General features: G+C 39.3%; 1 protein-coding gene across 2 annotated transcripts in view; it reads left to right on the forward strand.

Annotated features, from left to right (window-relative positions):
* Positions 1-25,027, forward strand: part of KLHDC1 (kelch domain containing 1) — a 60,031-nt gene that overhangs the window by 26,053 nt on the left and 8,951 nt on the right. For both annotated transcript variants that reach the window (NM_172193.3, XM_011536422.3), the window contains exons 5-12: positions 4,702-4,780; positions 6,514-6,597; positions 9,754-9,837; positions 10,318-10,376; positions 13,532-13,644; positions 15,417-15,489; positions 20,926-21,010; positions 24,581-24,633. In NM_172193.3, coding sequence (NP_751943.1) covers positions 4,702-4,780; positions 6,514-6,597; positions 9,754-9,837; positions 10,318-10,376; positions 13,532-13,644; positions 15,417-15,489; positions 20,926-21,010; positions 24,581-24,633 — 630 coding nt within the window. The remainder of the gene's footprint in view (positions 1-4,701; positions 4,781-6,513; positions 6,598-9,753; positions 9,838-10,317; positions 10,377-13,531; positions 13,645-15,416; positions 15,490-20,925; positions 21,011-24,580; positions 24,634-25,027) is intronic.

The raw sequence follows: 25,027 nt of genomic DNA on the forward strand, positions 1-25,027 counted from the left end.
TTCTTGTCTAATTCCTTAACTTGTACAGTTATGTTATGGATTTGAGATTTTATTTTTAATGTAGGCATTTACAGCTATAAATTTCCCTCTGAGCCCTGCCTTCGCTGCATCTCGTAAGTTTTGTTATGTTTTTATTTTCATTTATCTCAAGGTAATTTCTAATTTCCGTTATGATTTCTTTGACCATTTGGGTTGACAGGATTTTTTTTCTTTCAGCACTTTACAGGTTTTATTTATTTATTTATTTATTTATTTTTATTTATATATATTTTTTGAGACAGAGTCTCGCTCTGTTGTCCAGGCTGAAGTGCAGTGATGCGATCTGAGCTCACCACAACCTCTTCCTCCCGGGTTCAAGTGATACTCCTGCCTCAGCCTCCTGAGTAGCTGGGACTACAGACATGCACTACCATGCTCGGCTAATTTATTTTTATTTTTTATTTTTTGTAGAGACAGGGTTTCACTATGTTGGCCAGGCTGGTCTCGAACTCCTGACCTCGTGATCCACTTGGCCTCCCAAAGTGCTGGGATTACAGGCGTGAGCCAGCGTGCCCAGCCTACAGGTTTTGTTACATTGCTTTTTGGCCTCCATTTTTCTTTCTCTTTTTTCTTCCCTTCCTTTCTTTTTATTTCTTTCCTTTATTTATTATTATTATTATTTTGTTATAGAGATGGTCTCACTCCATCACCCACCCAGGCTGAAGTGCAGTAATGCAGTCATGGCTCACTGCAGCCTCAAACTCCTGGGCTCAAGCGTTCCTCCTTCCTCCTCTCAAGCAGCTAGGACTACAAGTGCATGCCACCACACCAAGCTCATTTTTTTTTTTTTTTTGAGACAGTGTCTCGCTCTGTTGCCCAGGCTGGAGTGCAGTGGCGCGATCTTGGCTCACCACAACCTCCACCTCCCAGGTTCAAGCAATTCTCCTGCCTCAGCCTCCTGTGTAGCTGGGATTACAGGCATGCGCCACCAAACCCGGCTAATTTTGTATTTTTAGTACAGATGGGGTTTCTCCATGTTGGTCGGGCTCATCTCAAACTCCTGACCTCAGGTGATCCGCCTGCCTTGGCATCCCAAAGTGCTGGGATTACAGGCGTGAGCCACAGCGCTCAGCCTTTTAAAATTTTTTGTAGGGATGGGGATCTCACTATGTTGCCCAGGCAGACCTGAAACTCCTGGGTTCAAGCACTCCTCCTGCCTCAACCTACCACATTGCTGGTATTGCAGGTGTGACCCACTGTGCCCAGTCTGGCCTCCATCTTTTTTGTGACAAATTTACTCTCATTTGTGTTTTTGTTTCTCTGTATGTGTCTTTTTTTTTTCTTTATCTGTTCTATATTTTTGCCCTTAAATAATTTGATTAAATATGCATTGGTGTGTAGTTCCTTTGTATTTATCTTACTTGGAGTGTGCTGAGCTTCTTGGGTTTGTAGGTTGATAGCTTCCATCAGTTTCTCAGTAATTATATTATCAAATATTTCTTCTCCATCTTTCTTTGTCTCCCCTTCTGTGACTCCCATTACATGCATGTTAGGCCATTTTGATACTGTTCCACAAAGCTTTGGCTACCTATTTCTTTTCTTCCCATTCTTTCCTTTTCTTTATGTTTTAATTTGGATATTTTTTGTGAATCTATTGACTTGTCTTCAAGTTTACTGATGTTTTCCATTGCTGTGTCAAGTTTGCTGTTAATTACCAAGTTCCAGGAAGGAAATTTTTTTTTAAAGTTTGCTGTTTAACCTATATAATGAATTCTTTAGTTCTGACATATTATTTTCTATTTTTAGCATTTCCATTTAGTTCTTTTTTATGGTTCTATCTCTTTGCTGAAATTACCCATTTATTCCTGCATGTTGTCCACATCTTTCTGCTATTAGTATCCTCATCATAGTTTTTTTAAAGGCCCTGTCTGATAATTCCATTGTCTAGACCACCTCTGAGTCTGTTTATATTAAGTCTTTTCTCTCATCATCATGGGCCACTTTTTTGTGCCTTTTGTGTATTTTGTAATTTTTATTTTTTTAAGACAAGGTCTCACTCTCACTCAGGCTGGAGTGCAGTGGTGTGATCATAACTCAGTACAACCTTGAACTCTGAGTTCAAGCAATCTTCCCACCTCAGCCACCTGAGTAGCTGAGACTACAGGTATGCACCGCCACACCTTTCTTTCCTTTTTTTTTAAATTTTATTTCTTGTGGAGACAGGTCTCCTTATGTTGCCCAGGCTGATCTCAAACTCCTGCCCTCAAGCAATCCGCCTGCCTCAGCCTCCCTGTAGTTTTTAAATTATATGCCAGATCTTCTGTCTGAAAGAACAGTAAAGATTGGAATAAATTATATTTATCTTCAGAAAGTGACATGCCCTTTCTTCTTTTTTAGGTTGCTAGAGTAAGAGTTGAGTCAGTCTAATTCGTAGGTGATTTGTATTTGGGCTTTGTTGTAGCTTTAGTTTGATTGAGTTTTACCTCTGGCTTCAAATGTTTTGGGACAGTACTTTTCCTTTACTAGGGCCCCCTATTTGGACACTGAGATTTTCTAGAGATTTGCAGCTGTGCTTCACAGCTGCGTTCCTACCTCTCAGAACTGTGGGAGATCTCTCCATGTTTTATAGTCCAGTTGGTAGGTCATTGGCCACGAGGGAGTTCTCTTTGCTCTCTGATCCCACTTTATGCTTTCTGCACCCTGGAAGACCTCTTTCAGCCTTGCATCTCCTCCCCTGGCCTTTGGAGGGCAGGTACTCTATAGGGTGTAAATATTTGGCATGCCCCTGAGGTGTTTCTTTCAGATCTCCTGTTTGCATCACAAACTTTAGTAGTCCAAAGCTCAGATTGCCTAAAGGGGATTTTCTCAGCTCTCCTCTGCCTCCAGCTGTTGGTGACTGACCCTGATCCCTCCCTGAAGATTATGCGAAAGAGTTAAGGAGTAGGTTAAATTCCGTCTATGGCTGGGTTTCCTTTTTTTTGTTGTTATTATTATACTTTAAGTTCTAGGGTACGTGTGCACAACGTGCAGGTTTGTTACATATGTATACATGTGCCATGTTGGTATGCTGCACCCATTAACACATCATTTACATTAGGTATATCTCCTAAGGCTATCCCCGACCCCATGACAGGCCCCGGTGTGTGATATTCCCCTTCCTGTGTCCAAGTGTTCTCATTGTTCAGTTCCCACCTATGAGTGAGAACATGCGGTGTTTGGTTTTTTGTCCCTGTGATAGTTTGCTGAGAAGGATGGTTTCCAGCTTCATCCATGTCCCTACAAAGGACATGAACTCATCCTTTTTTATGGCTGCATAGTATTCCATGGTGTGTATGTGCCACATTTTCTTAATTCAGTCTATCATTGATGGACATTTGGGTTGATTCCAAGTCTTTGAGGCTGGGTTTCTAAAGATGCTAATTTGGGGCCAGGCGCCATGGCTCAAGCCTTGTATTACGCCTTTTTCACACTGCTGATAATGACATACCAAAGACTGGGCAATTTACAAGAGAAAGAGGTTTATTGGACTTACAGTTCCATGTGGCTGGGGAGGCCTCACAATTATGGCAGAAAGTGAAAAGCAAGTCTCACATGGCAACAGATAAGAGAAGAGAGCTTGTGGAGGGAAGCTCCCCTTTTGAAAACCATCATATCAGCGGGTGCAGTGGCTCACGCCTGTAATCCCAGCACTTTGGGAGGCCGAGGTGGGCAGATCACTTGAGGTCAGGAGTTCAAGACCAGCCTGGCCAACATGGTGAAACCCTGTCTCTACTAAGAATACAAAAATTAGCCAGGCGTGGTGGCAGGCGCCTGTAATCCCAGCTACGCAGGAGGCTGAGGCAGGAGATTCACTCGAACCCGGGAGGCGGAGGTTGCCTTGAGCAGAGATCACGCCACTGCACTCCAGCCTGGGCAACAAGAGTGAGACTCTGTCTCAAAAAAAAAAAAAAAAAAAAAAAAAAAGAAGAGAAAACCATGAGATCTCATGACACTTAATCACTATCATGAGGTCAGGGAAAGACCTGTCCTCATGATTCAATTACCTCCCATTGGGTCCCTCCCACAGCACATGGGAATTCAAGATGAAATTTGGGTAGGGACACAGCCAAACCATATCGCGCCTGTAATCCCAGCACTTTGGGAGGCCAGGATAGGAGGATAACTTGACCCCAAGAGTTCAAGACCAGCTTGGGCAATATGGTGAAACCCCATCTCTACAAAAATACAAAAATTAGCCAGGCATGGTGGCACGCACCTGTAGTCACAGCTACTCAGAGGTCTGAGGCAGGAGGACTGCTTGAGCCCGGGAGGTGGAGGTTGCAGTGAGCTGAGATCATGTTCATGCCACTGCACTCCAGCCTGGGTGACAGAGGGAAACCATGTCTCAAAAAATAAATTAAAAAAAATCTAATTTGCCATGCCAATATAAATGTAGCTGTTAAAAATTTGGGTAGTTTCTTCTTACAAGCCCTGTATGTGCTGGATTCTTCCTCTTGCTGTTACACAAGGGATGAAAGCAGCTATGGGTCTCTTCTTTCCCATTGAGAGCTCATCACTTTCTGGAATTGGTTTATTTAGGTCTCTTTGTTCCCTCAGCTCTTTATTCTTTTTAAACTGTGATTTTGTGTTTGGGTTGTTAAGGTGAGAGGATCTTTTTCAGCTTTCTATGAACAAACTGGAAACAGAATTCCTAAAGTGTGTCATTTCGTATTTGTTTTTCAGACTAATATATTTTGGTGGTTATGGGTGTAGGAGACACAGTGAACTCCAAGACTGTTTTGATGTTCATGATGCATCTTGGGTAAGATAGTAATCACTGTTTACATTTTCCTCCAAGTCAGTATAGCCTTAACATCTTAGAAATAATGAGTCTAGTCTTTCTCATTTTTGGAGCTACCAATTTGTCGTAATTGACGCTATGAAAAAAATGTGTTTTCTCTCTTTAACATTTGGATCCATTTGGCAAAAGGTATCTCTCTAGTGGTATTAGCCTTCATGGCTATTGGCAGAGTAATTTCTTTTCTTATATCGTTAATCACAGATACCTGCTTCTGTTAGACAGGTAGAGGCTTTAGCACAACTTGGAAAAATTATGTTCATATTTAACCGCAAAAGCTATTGTTGACATACACCTCTTTTTAGATATGTCCACTAGAATTATTCATAGGTCAGACTGGCCTCTAGATAAGAGTCAGTTGGTAGTGATACTAATTTTTCTACTTATTCTTACTGATTAGACAATAAATCATTATTAATGAAAGAAGTCATGAATTACAAAAATGAAATTTTTAAACAGATAATTTAAAAAACCATTGATCCTACCACCAAGATGCAGTCTTATTAGTTTTACCTTCTACTAGCGTATATTATTCTACATTAGTGTAAATACATATATATGTGTATATATATATATACACACACACACATTTCATGTATATTGCTTTGTATATGGGTATTATTGAAAATTCCCCATGTTTCTATGTTGTTTTTGAGTTTTAAAAATGACATATCATTAAAGCTTTGCTACTTAAAGTATTGCTGAGAATTTTCAGGAATATAACTTCTATTTATATCTAGTTATTTTTATTCATCAGTGAAATAACTCAATTTTTTTCTCCTACAATACAGTTACTAAGCTAATTATCATGTCCTGAAGTTTCTGGAACACAAATGGTATTTTTTTTTTTTTTTCATTTAGACTCTAAATGAGCTGGGTGTGGTGGCACATTTCTATAATCCCAGCTACTAGGGAGGCTGAGGCAGAAGGATCACTTGTACCAAGGAGTTTGAGACCAGCCTGGGTAACATGGCGAGACCCTGTTTCAATTTAAATAAAATTTAAAAATAGATTCTAAACTAAGTAAATTGTTTAGCTTATTTTACTTGCTTGACAAGGCCTGACAAAAATAAATGATGTCTTTCTGACACACAATATAAAACTGGCACAGAGATCATCTAGAGTAGTGATAGAGGATTTCAGCACCCTGGGAGATGCTAAATATGGTATAGCTGCTAAGTCTTTTCTTTGCTGACAAAGAATTTTATATCTTAGGAGATAAAGAAGAGAGTGGTCATAAGTTTAATCTGTAAGAACAAATTGCTTGGTGAAGTAGAAGTGATTGGAAGTTTTTGGGAACAGGAACCATGACCCACCCCCTAAAGTTTATTACAGCAAAAATGAGGAGTTCTGAGCATGTACTTTAGGGAAACAGATTTTAAAATGTAAACATCATTCCACCCTCTGCAATTTTAAAAAAGATAATCCTTAGAGAAAATTGAAAGATTGTCAACAAGTAAAATTATGATTCACTGCAAACAATACTATGAGAAGAAAAGTTGCCAGGTGGTGCTGCTACTGGTCTGGGGACCACGCTTTGGGAGGTACCCGTGTATCCGTTGGCTTTGTGACTATGGTAACACTTAACTCTATTTTTGTAAGGTGTCTGTTATTTTACCAGTAAATATGTGATAAAACTGTAATAATAATGTAAAAATTATTAAAGCTTTGAGATATTTAAAACATTTCTCTTTTAGGAAGAGCAGATATTCTGGGGATGGCATAATGATGTCCACATATTTGACACAAAGACACAGACTTGGTTTCAACCAGAAATTAAAGTAAGTGTGGTAAAAAGTCATCTTTATATATTTGTATTTAAAAATAAATTTTTTACTGTGGATTTTGGGTTTTTTTTTGTTTTGTTTTGTGTTTTTGAGACAAAGTCTTGCTCTGTTGCCCAGGCTGGAGTACAGTGGCACAATCTCAGCTCACTGCAACCTCCGCCTCCCGGGTTCAGGTGGTTCTCCTGCCTCAGCCTCCTGACTAGCTGGGACTACAGGCGTGGACCACCATGCCTGGCTAATTTTTGTATTTTTAGTAGAGACGGAATTTTGCCATGTTGGCCACGCTGGTCTGGAACTCCTGACCTCAAGTTATCTACCCACCTTAGCCTTGCAAAGTGCCCGGATTACAGGCATTATAGGTCACCACACCTGGCCTGTTATTTGGATTTTTGTAATTAGGTTTGTAATCACATACCAAGTAGTTCTCTTGAGTACTTTCATTAATAGCATTAAGAAAAACATCAGAACCGTAGATGGCACTTGTAGTCCCAACTACTCAGGAGGCTGAGGCAGGAGGATCACTTGAGTCCAGGAGTTTGAGGCTGTAGTGTGCTACAATCACATCTGTGAATAGCCACTGCACTCCACTGCATTCTAGCCTGGGCAACATAGTGAAACCCTGTCTCTCAAAATAAACAAATAAAACAAAAAAATGCATATTCTTCTCCATGTCAGCTAAGGTTTTCTAGAAAAAAGTCTTTTAATGAGGTGCCATCGTCATTCTTTACCCACAAGTGTCATGCCCTGATTTAATAAAGGTCTATTTTTAAAAATCCTTTTATAACAAAGCCCATGTTTTATATACCCTTGAATTCAGAGGTACATGCAATTATGGCATGACAAAAAATACATTATCAGTATTCTTTCATTTGTTAGTGACCAAACACAAATTCAAATTAGTTTAAGCAATAATGAATTCTCACATAGCTGGAAATCATATTGGAATGGCACACAAAGTAGAAGGAAGAGCCACAGGGACCATAGCCTCAGGAACCGGAGCAGGTTACTCAGCATCCTCACAATACTTTCTGTCTTTCTGTCTGCTTTTCTCTGCTTCTCTTTGTGTGCTTGTTTCATTCCGTCTATGGCAGACACACTGGCTCATTTAGGAGGGAATATGGTCCTGGTTACACACACAGTTATTTGTATTGTACTCTCTCAACGTCTATATATTAGTCTTAGAAAAGGGCTGGGCTTGCTGGCTCATGCCTGTAATCCTAGCACTTTGGGAGGCCGAGGCAGGCAGATTGCCTGAGCTCAGAAGTTCGAGACCAACCTGGGCAACATGGTGAAACCCTGTCTCTACTAAAAATACAAAGGAAATTAGCTGGGCGTGGCGGCATGCGCCTGTAGTCCCAGCTACTCGGGAGGCTGAGGCAGGAGAATTGCTTGAACCTGGGAGGCGGAGGTTGCAGTGAGCGGAGATTGCTCCACTGCACCACTCCAGCCTGGGCAACAGAATGAGACTCCGTCTGTACCAAAAAAAAAAAAGAAAGAAAGAAAAGGACTCTGCCTCTACTTGGGCATGTTCCTACCCTTTACAGCAATTCCTGATGCCAAAGGGATGATTGGCCAGTCTTGAGTCACATGTTCATTGCTAGGAACAGGAGGCTATTGTGACTGATAAGCTTACCAGAATTGAACAGAGTGGAATGCTAAGCAGGTCGTATATGCACAGTTACATACATGTCTACTAATACACATATATGACCAGAATTCCTTACAGTCCAACTTCTGTTCATGGAAATGATGGGAAGGTCTATACAAAATCGTAAGTATTAGAGTTTGGCCATTCTCTGGATTCTCTTTTTCCAGGCAATAAATTTCAGATTTCCAGTACTCTTCTATTCTCTTCTATATAGTAGAAGAATTCTTCCAAAATTTCAGATCAAGCCTGGGGTAATAATAAAAATTTTGTTTTGCTGGAAGGGCTGGGAACCAAAATTCTTAAGTGGTTCTCATTTAAGTGTTATATAGGTAATATCTGAATTATGTCTTACCAAGTTGACCTCAGCACAGTTATTCAAATAAGCCTGAAAAGTTTAGGAAGTTATGATATTGGATGCAGAGCTTTAATTTCCTATACCCACTTTGAGTAGCCAGTGAGCTGAAAATGTCAGGTTCTTTCAGAACTTGGAATTAAAATACATACATAAAGGCACCCACCATGAAAATATGGAAATTATGCAGAAGATTTTTCCCTCAAACCTTATTCATTCATCTACCCATGATACTCACTTTTTCCACCAATTAAAAACCTCCCTAGGGTGGCGTAATGGCTCACGCCTGTAATCTCAGCACTTTGGGAGGTTGAGGCAGGCAGATCGCTCGAGGCCAGGAGGTTTGAGACCAGCCTGGACAGCAGAGCGAAACCTCATCTCTACTAAAAATACAAAAATTAGCCGGGCCTGGTGTTGCACACCTGTAATCCCAGCTACTGGGGAGGTTGAGGCAGGAGAATCGCATAAACCCGGGAGGTGGAGGTGGCAGTGAGCCGAGATTGTGCCATTGCACTCAAGCCTTGGCAACAGAGCAAGACTCTGCCTTGAAACAAAAAACAAAACTTCTCTAAAGAAAAGGTCTGCTATATTTATTCAAAATAAAGTGTAGAGAAGTGTTATCAATTAATGTTAAGAGTTTTAGTAAGAGAGAGAGCACTGTCTGGCTTAAGCCAAGAGTGAACTTCTTATTGTAAATTTGAGGCACCAAGAGTTTTGGGGCCATTTTTAATTTTACAGAGTTTCTGAGATAATCGCAATATGCACTGCTCACTTCTAATGGGAACTCTGTGTGTGTGAAAGAGAAACAGAGGAGAGAGGGAGAGAGAGAACATTTTAAAATTTGATTTTAAAATCTTTATACAGTATTTCAAACAAAAATTTACATGAAACCTTATTTTGCTAAATAGTGTCAGACATATAAGAAAAACATTTTCAAAAGTAAAGATCAGGGAGAATAAAATGTATTCTGACAAATAGTATTTGTCTACAATTAGTACTATTTAGAATAAACTTTTGCATTAGCGTTTTTAATTGAATTACATAGGTAATGATAACTTAGTGATTAAGACTTTCACATACTGAGCATAGGAATGTAACTTTATTACAGATATTTCAAGTCTTTGCAGTCTGTTCTGATTTCTACTTGCAGGGTGGAGTTCCACCACAGCCACGAGCCGCGCATACATGTGCAGTTCTTGGAAATAAGGGTTATATCTTTGGCGGACGTGTTCTGGTTAGTGTTTTTAATGGAAATGGTATTTTTATGTGCAATGCTCCTTATAAAAATTTATCCTCTGATTTCGTGGAATAATTGAACATTCATGTAATCTAGAGATTAAAATGGCATTCAATACTAATTTTATTTATCTTCTAATTCATAAACAGACCATACATGAACAATCATAGATGATTATAAATCATATTTTAATGAGGAGAATCTTTCAGTGCAGTATCAGAAAAAATTAATTTCTTGTCATCTAAAGCCTGTGAATTTAAACCTATTTCTTCCTATTTTTTCCTTTCCCCTTTGACACATTGATTTGGGAGCTCTGTGTCAGTCTTATTAATGCTTAGCATTGTTTTCCAATAGTTAAACATCTTATGTGAAGTAAAATAGAGATAGTCTATTTTTAATCTGAACTTACTTTAAAAGAAAAATTTTAGCTGATAAAAGATGTGAAATACTGACCAATGTAACACACTTTTCTTTTAGCAAACTAGGATGAATGATTTGCACTATCTAAACCTAGACACCTGGACTTGGTCTGGAAGGTAAGTTTGAAGTCTAAGTACGTTTTAATCTATAGGCATGTGTATGTGTCTGTATGTCACCATAATCCAAATGTGAGTCTTTAAAACTGGACTGGTATTTTTTTCCTTCAGATCGTATGTCTAAGCAAGGACTATATAGATTTAAATAGAGTTTGTTCCTTAACCAGACAAGATAAAACATGAAAATACTAACAGTTGAAATTAGATTATATAAAAGTACTGGTTTTATACTAAGTAGTTTTTGAGGATTGATCAGTAGAAGAAATGAAGAAGTGGTTGAATGGGGTCATCTCAGGTGAACAGGTAATGGAGTAAAGTCGGATTTTATTTGTAGCTCATAATATGTATTTAACAATAGAACAAATATATTTAGCTATCAACTTAGCAATTTGTATAATGAGATGGAATCAGAGCTATATATTATTCCAAAGTATAAGTACCATTAAATACCATAAAACCATGAAAGTCTCAGAAGAAAATATAGCAGATTATCTTTAAAATGTTGGCATGGAGAAAGCTTTGTAAAGATGATATGAACTCAAAATTCATAAATGAAAAGACTGATCGATAAGACTACTTAAAAATTAAATATTTCTCTGTAGAAAAATGTACCACAAAAAATTAAATGGCAAATTGTAAAATGCAAACAAAAAACTGGAAACAATATTTGCAGGTTTTTTTTTTTTTTTTTTTGAGACAGAGTCTTGCTCTGTCACCAGGCTGGAGTGCAGTAGCATGGTCTCAGCTCACTGCAACCTCGCCTCCCAGGTTCAAGCAATTCTCCTGCCTCAGCCTCCGGAGTAGCTGGGACTACAGGCGCGCACCACCACGCCCAGCTAATTTTTGTATTTTTAGTAGAGACGAGATTTCACCATGTTGGCCAGGATGGTCTCGATCTCTTGACCTTGTGATCCGCCCACCTTGGCCTCCCAAAGTGCTGGGATTACAGGCATGAGCCACCGTGCCCAGCTGACATTTGCAATATTTTTAAAAGAGAGATGTCAGGGCAAAGATCCACAAGAACTCAGTAAATCAGTTTTAAAAAGGCAAATAATCCAATAGAAAAGTGGACAAAGAACATGCATAAACAACTCACAGAAGAAATAATAGGTAAAAATTATTTTTAAAAGATGTTCAACCTAGGCTGGGTGCAGTGGCTCACACCTGTAATCCCAGCACTTTGGGAAACCGAGGCAGGTGGATCACCTGAGGTCAGGAGTTTGAGACCAGCCTGGCCAACATGGTGAAACCCCAGCTCTACTAAAAATACAAAAAAAGCAAGGAGTGGTGGTGGACGCCTATAATCCCAGCTACTCGGGAGCCTGAGGCAGGAGAATCGCTTGAACCCGGGAGGTGGAGGTTGCATTGAGCCAAGATCGTGCCACTGCACTCCAGCCTGGGCAATAAGAGTGAAACTCTGTCTCAAAAACTAATAATAAAAATAAAACCAGGCAGGTGCAGTGGTACACGCCTGTAATCCCAGTACTTTGGGAGGCTGAGGCTGGTGGATCACCTGAGGTCAGGAGTTCTTAACCAGCCTGACTAACATGGTGAAACCCCGTCTCTACTAAATACAAAACAATTAGCCGGGTGTATTGGCGCATGCTTGTAAACAGAGCTACTTGGGAGGCTGAGACAGGAGAATTGCTTGTACCTGGGAGGCGGAGGTTGCAGTGAGCTGAGATCACGCCATTGCACTCCAGCTTGGGAAACGAGCAAAACGCCGCCTCAAAAAATAAAAAAAAGTTTCTTATAAACAACACAAACAGTAAAAATATTTCCGTTTTGTAAAAAACAAATTGTATCTTCCAAAAATGTCCTGTGTTATTCTGGAACATTCCAGACTGTGGAAGAATGGTATCTTCTCACCTCCTAAATTAAATTCTTTTGCTTCTAACTTATGCTTTTTTATTTTATTTTATTTATTTATTTTTTTTGGAGACGGAGTTTCGCTCTTGTTGCCCAGGCTGGAATGCAATGGCGCGACCTCGGCTCACTACAACCTCCACCTCCCAGGTTCAAGTGATTCTCCTGCCTCAACCTCCCTAGTAGCTGGGATTACAGGCACATGCTACCAGGCCCAGCTATAACTTATGTTTTTATTTTTCATGCCCCGTCTCTTTTAAGTGTCCCTTTTATTATTATGATTATTCTTGTTGTTCTGTTTTCTTTTGTTTTAAGAGACAATGTCTCTATTTTGCCCAGGATGGTCCGTCCAACTCCTGGGCTTGAGCAATCCTCCTGCCTTGGCGTCCCAAAGTGCTGGGATTACAGAAGTGAGCCACTGTGCCTGGCATTGTTTTTATTTTTATTTTTTTGAGAAATCCTTAGAGGTTTACCCTGTATCTGGAATGGCTTTCATGCTTTTATTTTGAAGTTAGAATAGCTAGCATTTTCAGAGGAAGATAATGTTTTGGGAAATTCTAGAAGTAGATCAAAGTAAAAAACAACAATATAAAAACCCATAATATCCTTGGGGAAATCAGCTAAAAACACAAAATTAACCATGAAACAACAGTAAAAAGTTACAGACATGAAAAAAATTGTGTTGAAAAACTAAGGAAGCAGCTGATTAGCCAATAAGAATGATGCTGAGTATGCATTGTGCATTAACGGAGAATTGACTTTTTTTTTTTTTCTTGGAGAAGCAGTCTCTCTCTGTCACCCAGGCTGGAGTGCAGTGGTGCAATCTTGGCTCACTGCAACCTCCACCTCCCAGGTTCAAGCAATTCTCCTGCCTCAGCCTCCCGAGTAGCTGGGACTACAGGCGCATGCCACCAGGCCCAGCTAATTTTTTGTATTTTAGTAGAGATGGGGTTTCACCATGCTGCCCAGTCTGGTCTCGAACTCCTGAGTTCAGGCAATCCACCCGCCTTGACCTCCCAAAGTGTTGGAATTACAGGCATGAGCCACCGCGTCGGCTGAGAATTGACTTTTATTTTCACTGTGTAGCCAGGTGGAATGGTCATTAAATGGAAAGATTTTTTAAATTCATCTAAGAATTTAATAATGTTTTTCAAATATTCATGTAGGTGGGACTAGTAAAAGTTTTTTGGAGCAGTGAGGGCAGATTTTTTTTTTAAGATCTAAGATGATTAAAAACCTTTTATTTTGATTAATATAGTACCTAGACTTTCTTTTTCTCCTTGCCACAGGATTACTATTAATGGAGAAAGCCCAAAACATCGGTCATGGCATACTTTAACACCTATAGCTGATGATAAACTTTTCCTATGTGGTGGACTAAGTGCAGATAATATCCCATTAAGTAAGTTGATTAAGGTTTAGCCTATAATTATTATCTCATTCTTTTTTCTTAATTGTATTTCATACTTACAGTGAAGTAAATCTTCCTTTTTTCCTGTTTTTCTGGTTTGCCTTTATCCTCAATTATTTTCTTGCATGAATTATGATCTCCTTGCTTTTGTACCCTTGGCTCTCCACGTTCCCCTGTTTTCTAGGGAAAGAGAAGAGGAAGGGTGATTGAAGCTAGATGAAACAAAGCCCCTTTATACTACTATATTCTGTGATTCTGTGTCCGCTGATTTTTGATCCAGATGCTTGTACTGTAGGGTAGGATGCTTGCACTGTTCGCTTTTGCTGTACTCCAGGCTAGGGGATTGGAAGAGCAGCCTTTCTTAGAAGGCCCTGGAAATACAAAGTGGGAAGCCCAGTTGCTTCTCTTTTTGTTCCAGAGCTGTAGAGGAAAGTGTTTAGCTAGGTTTTTTAAACTCCAGTCATTGCTGATCCCAGTGGCTATGGGTTTTGGAATGCAGTTTTTCTTTCAGCAGTAGAACTGTGGCATCAAGATAGACAGATGACCACGAATATTGACTTCTTAATTTGGCATGTTAGATGTTTTATGTTTTCTATTTTCTTTTCTTTTTTTTTTTTTTTGAGATGGAGTCTTGCTCTGTGGCCTGGGCTGGAGTGGGATGGTGCAATCTCGGCTCACTGCAACCTCCACCTCCCGGGTTCAAGCGATTCTCCTTCCTCAGGCACCTGAGTAGCTGGGATTACAGGTGCCCACCACCACGCTCAGCTAATTTTTGTATGTAGAGGTGGGGTTTCACCATGTTGGCCAGGCTGGTCTCGAATTCCTGACCTCGTGATCCACCCGCCTCAGCCTCCCAAAGTGCTGGGACTACAGGCGTCAGCCACCGCACCTGGCCATTTTCTGTTTTCTTAACCCAGAAGTTTTCTCTGGCTAGAGATGTTTTCATTAAGAAACATTATACACTATTACAACATTTATATAATTATATATTAGGGTCTGGAAACAACTGTTTTTCAACAAAAGTTTATTGAGCATCAGCTGTGTGTCTGGCAGTCAGACAAATTCCAGAGGTTAGTTGGAGAAACAACAGTTCCTAGTAGGAGATGTTAGTTATTCTTGCACATTATTATACTTCTCCAATTTGTGAGATTTTTATTTAAAAGAGATTTGGAATCTAACCAAAAACTAACATCTGTACATTTCACTAGGGGCTGTTTAATATCATATCTTCATGATCTCTAGTGTTTTTAGTTCCTGTTTTCTGTTTTTGGTCATTGACCTATGGGAAATTAAATGTCCTAACTCATAAGCTAGTCAATTTCCTCCCTTAAAGATTCTGTTTCAGTCTAAGATTTGGTCATATGGATATTAGATGATCCCAAGACTTTTTTTTTAGTTTGGTTGACTGTGATAATGGCATTGTGGTTATGTAAAAAATGTCCTTTTATTTTCAGTAATGCATACTGAAGTATGTATGGAGAAAATGATGTGAGATCTAGGATTTCATTTAGAAAAATTAAGCAATAATAACAAAAAGATAAGTGGAGCACATGTAGCAAAGTCTTGATAGTTGTTGAATCTGCGATATATGGAAGTTCATTGTCATGGTCACTCTATTTTTGTAAATGTTTGAAAATTTGTATGATAAAATAGGTGCACTCAGAAAAGATAGTCATTTAAATGTAGCATGATAAATTGGGGGGAAAATTAAAATTGTATCCCAGAGACCTAATCTTAATTTCTGAACTGTCATGATATTGCAGGTGATGGTTGGATTCATAATGTCACAACAAATTGTTGGAAACAACTTACACATTTACCTAAAACAAGACCTAGGTAAGTCAAGAAATTGACAAATAGTAAAATAGTTAAGAATTTTTAAAGTATTAAAATATAGTACTGAATTTATAGTGTTTGCCATTGAAACCATAAGCCATTGAGAAGGATATCTTTCAAATGAGCTTGATGTTACCTAAATAATTTAATTATTATTTTAATTATATCTGATTGTTAGAAATGATCTATCCAGTTTTCACCCATACTTGCATATTTGAAAATGTTATTCTTTTAGGTAAATGCATAATCTTGCCTGATAACTGTGAAGATTAAGATAATTAAAAGCATCATATGAGATTAATGTTTTTAATGTTAATAATTTTAATAAGCAGACAAAAATGGGGTTGGCTTTAATAGTAGTTATTTGTTTTTGGAAGAGGTTTAAAGCAAGTTAATCAGGAAATTTGCTTCCATGTTGATCCAATGGATGGCAGGTTATTATTAATCTCTGTTAACTGCATGATGTATTCATTGATGGGAATTTTTTGAAAAAGAAAATACGTTATTTATGGTATATTATAGAATTAAAAATTTTAGAAATTATATACTATTATTAAACTACAAAGAAAACCACATTTGTACTATAATTCTTGTTTTTTTCTAATTTTATTGAATAGTGTAATAATATCTTCATAGGAAATTCAGATTCAGCACATTATGATCATTATAATTGGTAATTCTTTTTTACGCTATGTATTTTAGAATTTTAAAAATACAGATTATTTATGCTAGTGTGTAATCAATTTAATGATATATATTTTGTTATTTAATAAATGACAGCTTACTTGAGAAAAAGGCCTGAAAATATTTATATTTATTTTGGTATATGTATCTATATTAATATTCACAGTACGTTTAGAATTCATAATTGCATTTGTGATTCTTTTGTCTTCATGTATAAAAATTCATTGGAATGTATTACTTTAACATTTCTGGCTCTTTTGAAATTTTTTTTTTTTAATGTAAAGAGTTTTGTACTGAGACATGGGAGCCAAGAGTTCTAGTCCTTGCTCAGCTACTACCTACTTTTTTGGCTTTGAAAAGTCACTTAAGGAAACTGAGCATTGGCCAGGTGTGGTGGCTCACGCCTATTAATCCCAGCAATTTGGGAGGCCAAGGCAGGAGGATCACTTGAGTCCAGGAGTTTGAGAGCAGCCTGGGCAACATAGTGAGACCCCATTGCTACAGTTTTGGTTTTTTTTTAATGGCCGGGTGTGGTGGTGCACACCTGTAGTCCCAGCTACTCAGGAGGCTGAGGTGGGAGGATCACTTGATCCCAGGAGGTTGAGGCTGCAGTGAGCTGAGATTGTGCCACTGCACTCCAGCCTGGGCAGCAGAGCCAGACCCTGTCTCAAAAAAAGAAAGAAAGAAACTGAGCATCGATTTTTTCATCGGTGAAATAAGAGAGTTGGACTAGATAATCTCTTAGTTTATTCCAGTTGTTTGATTGTATGAATGCATTATAGACCAAAGTATTAGTAAAAATGTTTAATTTTAAAATTGCTCCTATTTTATATTTCAACCCTTAATGAGTAGAGCAACACAACTATTATCTATAATATACTGTTAGTTAGAACTAGAGCTATGTAAAGAGATTTCTTTTAATTCAGCTGATGTGTCATGTAAATAATATGCTTTATTAGAATGTTTAGGTGATAAGTTTAGAGCAGCTGTGAAAGGACATAAACTATCAGTCTGTAGAAAAAACATCAGGTTGCAAGCTAGATGTCACCAAAATCAAGGCAGGAAAGGCTTTCCAGTGTTCTTCGATGATGAAATGGCCAGAGTTTCCCTAAGGCAGATAAGACAGAGGCAGATCTACAGGTATGAGGTGAGGAGAAGAACAGGTGGGATACAGTTGAGTGTAAGGAGAACATATATATGTGTCTATATATATACTAATTTTTATAAAAGTGACAATTTAGCTAAGATCTATAAGCATTTTGTACAAATTTTTCAAGTTGTAATTTGAAATGTAAGCTGCCCAATTCTCCTCTTAGAACTCTACAGCTAGGTTTCTCAACCTTGGCATTACTGACATTTTGGACCACATAATTCTTTGTCATGAGGGTGTCCTGTGCATTGTAGTATGTTTAGCAGCATCCCTGTCCTTTACCCAGTAGATGCCAGTTGTACTACCTTTTCTCTCCCCAACTTATGACAACTAAAAATATCTCCATATACTGTGAAATGCCTCTTTAGGGGACAAATTGCCCCTGGTTGAGAACGACTGTTCTACAGTGTAGCACTCCTATTCTCTGAGTCTCACCTTAGATAAACCTATGGCTGAAAAGCCATATATGTAGCCAGATCTGATAGCCTATATAGTTGGCTATCAGCAAGGACCCTTTTTTATGTGTCTGAAAAAGATGTTAGAGAAAATATTAGTGTATAGAGCCCCAAGTACTGTTGGATCTCGTGAGTATCGCCAAGGTTACACATAGCCTTCTCTCCAGGAAATTAATCTGTTCCTTCCCATGTATGAGGGCATTTTTTGTATTCTCTCTCCTTTACCTAACCCTCTTCCAGTTCCCATCCTTGACCCCACCACGTAATCTGGGTTCTTGTTGAAGATTTATATCAATGTATCTTCTATAAGAGTTGGAGAACTGGGCAGAGTATTTCCCAAACAACATCTCTAATGACTTAGTTCCATTTTGGGCCACAAGTGCATTTGTCATTGAATGTGTACACGATTGTTTGAGGAAAGTATTTGGTTTAACGAATTGTGCATAATTCCACTGTTTGCACTTGTGAAATTTAAGTAAAAGGGATTAATGTACTAAAAATTAGTTATGTGTCCCAGTTCCTGGGAAGTAGAAAAAATAAAATAAGTTGTGTGGTAATAAAATAAGTTATGATTTATAATTGTTTTAGGTATCTGTTGCTTCAACAGTTGGTATATTAAGAAAAGTAATCAAGGCCAGGTGTGGTGGCTCACACCTGTAATCCCAGCACTTTGGGAGGCCAAGGTGAGAGGATTGCTTAAGCCCAGGAGTTCAAGACCAGCCTGGATAATACAGTGAAACCCCATCTCTGAAAAAAAAAAAAAAATTAGCTGGGTGTGGTGGCGTGTGCCTGTAGTTCTAGCTACTCAGGAGGCTGAGGTGGGAGGATCACTTGAGCCTGGGAGACAGAGGATGGAGGAACCAGAGATTGTGCCACTGCACTCCAGCCTGGGTGACAGAGCCAGATCCTGTCTCAAAAAAAAAAAAAAAAAAAAAACAAGGAATCAAAGTACTCTAAAAGTCAAAGCAATGACTATGTAAAAATCCCTAATTTACCCTCTAAAATTGGGAAATTTTTTTGAGAGTTCTCTTACTCTGGAAATATTCAACTTTGTTAAACCATAAAATTAGTATTTGGGTTTTTTTGTTTGTTTTTTGAGATGGAGTCTCGCTCTGTCATCAGGCTGGAGTGCAGTGGCATGATCTCGGCTCACTGCAACCTCCGCCTCCTGGGTTCAAGCGATCCTCCTGCCTCAGCCTCCTGAGTAGCTGGGACTACAGGCGAAAATTATTATTTGTTAATAATGTGATATTGGAAATAGACATGAACTATCAGACCACTTCCAAAAGAATATTAGATGCTCTACTCCTTTATGAAATAATTTGTATATCTAATGACTGAATATATTATGTTGTTTTTTTCATGTTCTCTTTTGTTTGGTTGGTTTTTTTGTTTTTTTTTTTTTTGAGTCAGAGTGTAGCTCTGTCACCCAGGCTGGGGTGCAGTGGTGTGATGTCGGCTCACTGCATCACTGCAACCTCCACCTCCTGGGTTTAAGCAGTTCTCCTGCCTCAGCCTTCTAAGTAGCTGGGATTACAGGCATGCGCCAACAAGCTCGGCTAATTTTTTTTTTATTTTTAGTAGAGATGGGGTTTCACCATGTTGGCCAAGCTAGTCTTGAACTCCTGACCTTGTGATCTGCCCACCTCAGCCTCCCAAAGTGATGGGATTACAGGCTTGAGCCACCGTGCCCAGCCTCATGTTTGCTTTTGTTAATCACAAGTTTTTGAGCAGCTACTGGGTACAGAACACCACATGAGGCATTTTTAAGAAGCCATAAAATTAGATTCCCCAGGTTCCCATGGTGTGCTGTTAATGGCCAACAAGCACTCTCCAGAGTGGGAGGATGCCCTAATTTGTAGCATTTGCCGATTTCCAAGGTGTAAATACTCCTACCATGGCCAATTTCAAGCTTCCAACGTGATGTCACTGCACGTGGAGTTGGATGCAGATATGTACAATCAGCTTCTGCTAGCCAGTAAGCCAGTTTGAGCACACCACTGTGACAATTTCTTAACTTAAGGACCTCATAATCTTAGTTAGCTAGTCAAACAGCTAAAGTAGCATGCAGAGCAGTTCTTCTTCAAATGTAAGTGAGGCAAGTATAAAATGAGCACATAAACATTAAAGGGTGCTGAATAGAGATGGTAACAGAACCAGTTTTGGGTGGGTATTTGGAATACTTCCTGGGTGTTTGGAGCCTGTTTTTAAGGCCCAGTAAGAATGGCTTATTACTCTAAGCATAAGAAACAGAGTGAACAAAAGCCTAGAGATAGATGATAAGCTTTTCTCATAGGGGAAGCAAGGGAATGAATTTAGCTAAGTAGAGGGCTCATTTGGGAAAAGCCAAGAATTAAGATTTGTGGGAAAAAGAAACTGGTTGATCACAAATATTAGGCTAGGAAAACAGCCATTGGTAGTGCAGATGCTTCATCATCAGGAAATTTCCATGGTTAGAGGCAATATTTGAAAAATATTTGTTATTAGCCATATGTAGCTGAGGGAGATGAGAGACTGAAAAACTAGGAACATATTATGGTGTTCTGTACTCAGAGTGATGAGTAGTGTGACAATGGAAATGTGAAGGAGTGCCAAATTGGATTTGTTGGGTGATGGGGAACATAGAGTAGGAAAAAAGGCAAAAATTATAAGAACAGTAACATCGCAGATAGTAATAAGAAAACTGGGGAAAGTGCTTGTTTCAGCAATAAGGTGATCAGTTCCTTTTTAATTTATTTCACTGCAGGGATAATATGTATGAGAGAAAAAGGTTATAAAAATATTGAAGGATATAGTAGAGTTATTAAGAGTCGTCTCTGGCTGCGTGTGGTGGCTCATGCCTATAATCCCAGCACTTTAGGAGACCGAGGCAGGAGGATTATCTGATCCCAGGAGTTCAAAACTAGCCTCATCTCTTTAAAAAACAAAAACAAAAAACAGAGAGAGAGTCATCTCTTTAATGGTGTGATTTAATGAACTCTAGAGGAATCTTTATAACCCTTTTTAGGATATTCCAAAGGTTCAAGTTCAATCGTGTCTCTTTTAAATAGATTACATTTTAGAGTATGAAATTTAGAATTGATTTATATATAATGTACAGTTTCTCCCATGACAGTGTTTCACTCTGTTTATAATTTTCAATCATAGGTTATGGCACACAGCCTGTTTGGGAAAAGAAAATGAAATAATGGTATTTGGTGGGAGCAAAGATGACTTACTTGCCTTGGATACAGTAAGAAAATCTTATATCTAAATATTTCCTCTGAGTAGTTGTGTTATTCACACTAAATGGCTATTCAGCAAGAATGTTGATATTCTAACATTGCAAAATATGAAGGGCCTGAAATGTTACTCTGTGGTTTAATTAATCTTCAGGATGACTGGCTTTTTTGTTTGTTTGTTTTTGAGATGGAGTCTTGCTCTGTCCCCCAGGCTGGAGTGCAGTGGTGCGATCTCGGCTCACTGCAAGCTCTGCCTCCCAGGTTCACACCATTCTCCTGCCTCAGCCTCCCGAGTAGCTGGGACTACAGGCACCTGCCAACATACCCGGCTAATTTTTTGTATTTTTAGTAGAGAGACGGGGTTTCACCGTGTTAGCCAAGATGGTCTTGATCTCCTGACCTCGTGATCCGCCCGCCTCAGCCTCCCAAAGTGCTGGGATTACAGGCGTGAGCCACCGCACCCAGCAAGGATGACTGGCTTTTATGAAGCCTTTCTGGATATTTTGGATTTACAAATCAAAATAGGTCTATTAGTTTGATTAGCAAAATTATTAAGAAGACCTTTTAAAGGATGACTCCTCTTTCTCTTTTCTCTTACATGGGTTTCTCTAATATTATTGAATTAAAATATTTGTATGTAGGCTGGGTGTAGTTGCCCACGCCTCTAAATCCCAGCACTTTGGGAGGCCAAGGCAGGCAAATCACTTGAGGCCAGGAGTTCGAGACCAGCCTGGCCAACACAGCAAAAACCATCTCTACTAAAAATACAAAAATGACCCAGGTGTGGAGGTGCATGCCTGTAGTCCCAGCTACTTAGGAGGCTGAGGCACGAGAATCACTTGAACCCAGGAGGTGGAGGTTGCAGCAAACCAAGATCATGCCATTGTACTCCAGTCTGGGTGACAGAGCGAGACCCTGTCTCAAAGAAATATATATTTTTATCTAATATTTGATACATAAAAAGAATATTAATAATGTAGATGCTAAGTATAATAAATACCCATGAATTTTGTTAGCTAATTTTAGAGTTAGAACATCATCAGTACTGTTGAAGCCACCTGATTATTCCTTCTGAATCTTACCTACTAGCTTGCCCCTTCAAGAGGAAACTACTTTGTTGAAATATTCCAAGTATATTATTATTTTTTTTTTTTGAGACAGGATTTCGCTGTTACCCAGGCTGGAGTGCAGTGGCATGATCTCGGTTCGCTGCAGCCTCCACCTCCTGGGTTCAAGCGATTCTCCGGCCTCAGCCTCCCAAGTAGCTGGGATTACAGGCGTGTGCCACAACGCCCGGCTAATTTTTTGTATTTTTAGTAGAGATGAGGTTTCACCGTGTTGGTCAGGCTGGTCTTGAACTCCTGACCTCAAGTGATCCACTCACCTCAGCCTCCCGAAGTGCAGGGATTACAGGCATCAGCACCGTGCCTGGCCTATTCTCTTTTTTACTATATATCTTTTACCACTGCTTTACTCAGCTGTTTTACATTTAAGTTTAAAGCATTTCAATTTTAAAATTTGATAAAACTAAGGTCAGAGGCATAAATGAGTAGCATTTGGAGAGTATGGTTCTTTCACTCCTAGCACCCTGGGAAATTCAGAGCAGGGCGGCCATATTTATACACTATACACAATGGGACAGGAGTTCAGGAATGATTGATGTGGTTTTGTGTAGGACACTCAGAAATAGAGGATTCTGAGCCATCAGGGATGGGGTATGGTGAGCCAGAGCCTAACCCAGAGGGCACTAGCTCCCTTTCATCTCTTGAGGCACAGTTATCTCCAGAGCTGCTCCTATGGAGTGGCAAACTCCAAAGCAGGATGGCTTCTCTCCATGGAATTTGCTTTATTTTGTAGTTATGAAGCCCCTAACTTAAATGTTTTGTATATTGAAAGTTTTAGAGCTTTCTTTGGCTGAGAATTCAGTGCTTCACTAAAAGATTAAAACTACAACTTCGCATTTATTAAAAAAGCAAATTTTGTGGTTTGTCTTCTCTTTCTTGGCACTAGAAATCTTCATTTAGGATACAAAGTTTATCATGAAAGTAGGAATTCTGATTAAAAGCATGATCATAAATTATGAAATTCTAAAGACCTATTTGAAAGGATTAGATACATTTTCTGTGACTTTTCTACCACATTAACTTTTAGATGAGAGACTCATTATTCAAATAATCTTCCAGATCTTGACTTTCAAATTAAGAATTCCCGGGGAGGGCTGGGCGTGGTGGCTCACGCCTGTAATCCCAGCACTTTGGGAAGCTGAGGTGGGCAGATCACCCTGAGATCAAGAGTTCCAGACTAGCCTGGCCAACATGGCAAAACCCCATCTCTACTAAAAATTACAAAAATTAGCCAGGATGTGGTGGTGTGCACCTGTAATCCCAGCTACTCAGGAGGCTGAGGCAAGAGAATCACTTGAACCCGGGAGGCAGAGGTTGCGGTGAGCCGAGATCGCACCACCGCACTCTAGCCTGGGCAACAGAGCGAGACTCCGTCCTAAAAAAAAAAAAAAAAAAAGAGAATTCCCGGGGAATCTTGAGACCACCTGGAAAAGGAGGACAAGGTAAAGAGGAAATTTTTACATATGAGTTATTTGAAAGAAAAAGTTCAGCTTAAAAACAAAAAAAGTGCCAGGCGTGGTGGCTCATACCTGTAATCCCAGCACTTTGGAAGGCTGAGGCCGGCAGACTGCTTGAGCTCAGGAGTTTGAGACCAGCCAGGGCAACATGGTGAAACCCTGTCTCTACACCAGCTGGACGTGGTAGCCTGTTCCTGTGGTCCCAGCTACTTGCGGGGCTGAGGTTGGAGGATGGCTTAAGCCAGGAAGGCAGAGGTTGCAGTGAGCTCTGATTGCACCACTGCACTCCAGCCTGGGCAAGAGAGCCAGACCCTGTCTCCAAAAAAAAAAAAAAAAAAAAAAAGGTTTGAAAACCACTACTGGGCTGGGTGCGGTGGCTCACGCCTGTAATCACAACACTTTGGGAGGCTGAGGCAGGTGGATCACCTGAGGTCAGGAGTTCGAAACCAGCCTGGCCAACATGGCGAAACCTTGTCTATACTAAAAATACAAAAAAAATTAGCAGAGCATGGTAGTGGGCGCCTGTAATTCCAGCTACTCAGGAGGCTGAGGCAAGAGAATCGCTTGAACCTGGGAGTTGGAGGTTGCAGTGAGTGGAGATTGCACCACTGCACTCCAGTCTGGGCGACAGAGCAGGACTCCATCTCAAAAAAAAAAAAAAAAAGAAAAGAAAACCACTACCGTTATTTTTTAACTCACTTCTCGGTGAAGAATGTATTTCTTATTTTCAAATTTGCAATTATGTAGGCTATTGGTTAGGTTAAAATTTGGTCACTGAAAATTGGAAACCACAAACTCAAAGTTTGTAGGTAGCAGGTATATGTATGTACATGTATGTTTATGTGTGTGCATGAATTTATGTGTGTGTGTCAACAGCTAGAAAGATTTATTTGCTGCCTTATACAATATCTTTTACATTTATAAAATTAAGAAACATTCAATTATTAACTCATTGTTATTTTTATCAAAAACTTAATAATGCCTTTTTTGTGTTGATTAGGGTCACTGTAATGATTTATTGATCTTTCAAACACAGCCTTATTCACTACTCAGGTAAGCAAATTTAATATTTTCTATATATTTGCTATGAGTATATGATAATTTCTTTCTCATTTTTGGGAAGCATTGAAATATTTTTCAGGTTGCTTATGACATGAATTCAAGAATATGTTCACATCTTCCTAAGAGTATAATCAAATTTATAATGGTGAACTATACACCAATGTGAGTTTTAAAAATTAAAATATACATGCGTGGCGTGATGACTTACACCTGTAATTGAGTGCTCTGAGAGGACAAAGCAGGAGGATCACTTGAGGTCAGGAGTTCAAGACCAGTGTGGGTAACATTGTGAAACCCACGACTCTACAAAAAAAAAAAAGTAGCTGGCATGGTAGCTCACGTGTGTAGTCTTGGCTACTGTGGCTACTAGGGAGGCTGAAGTGGG

Source organism: Homo sapiens, chromosome 14, assembly GCF_000001405.40.
Source record: "Homo sapiens chromosome 14, GRCh38.p14 Primary Assembly".
Classification (NCBI taxonomy): domain Eukaryota; kingdom Metazoa; phylum Chordata; class Mammalia; order Primates; family Hominidae; genus Homo; species Homo sapiens.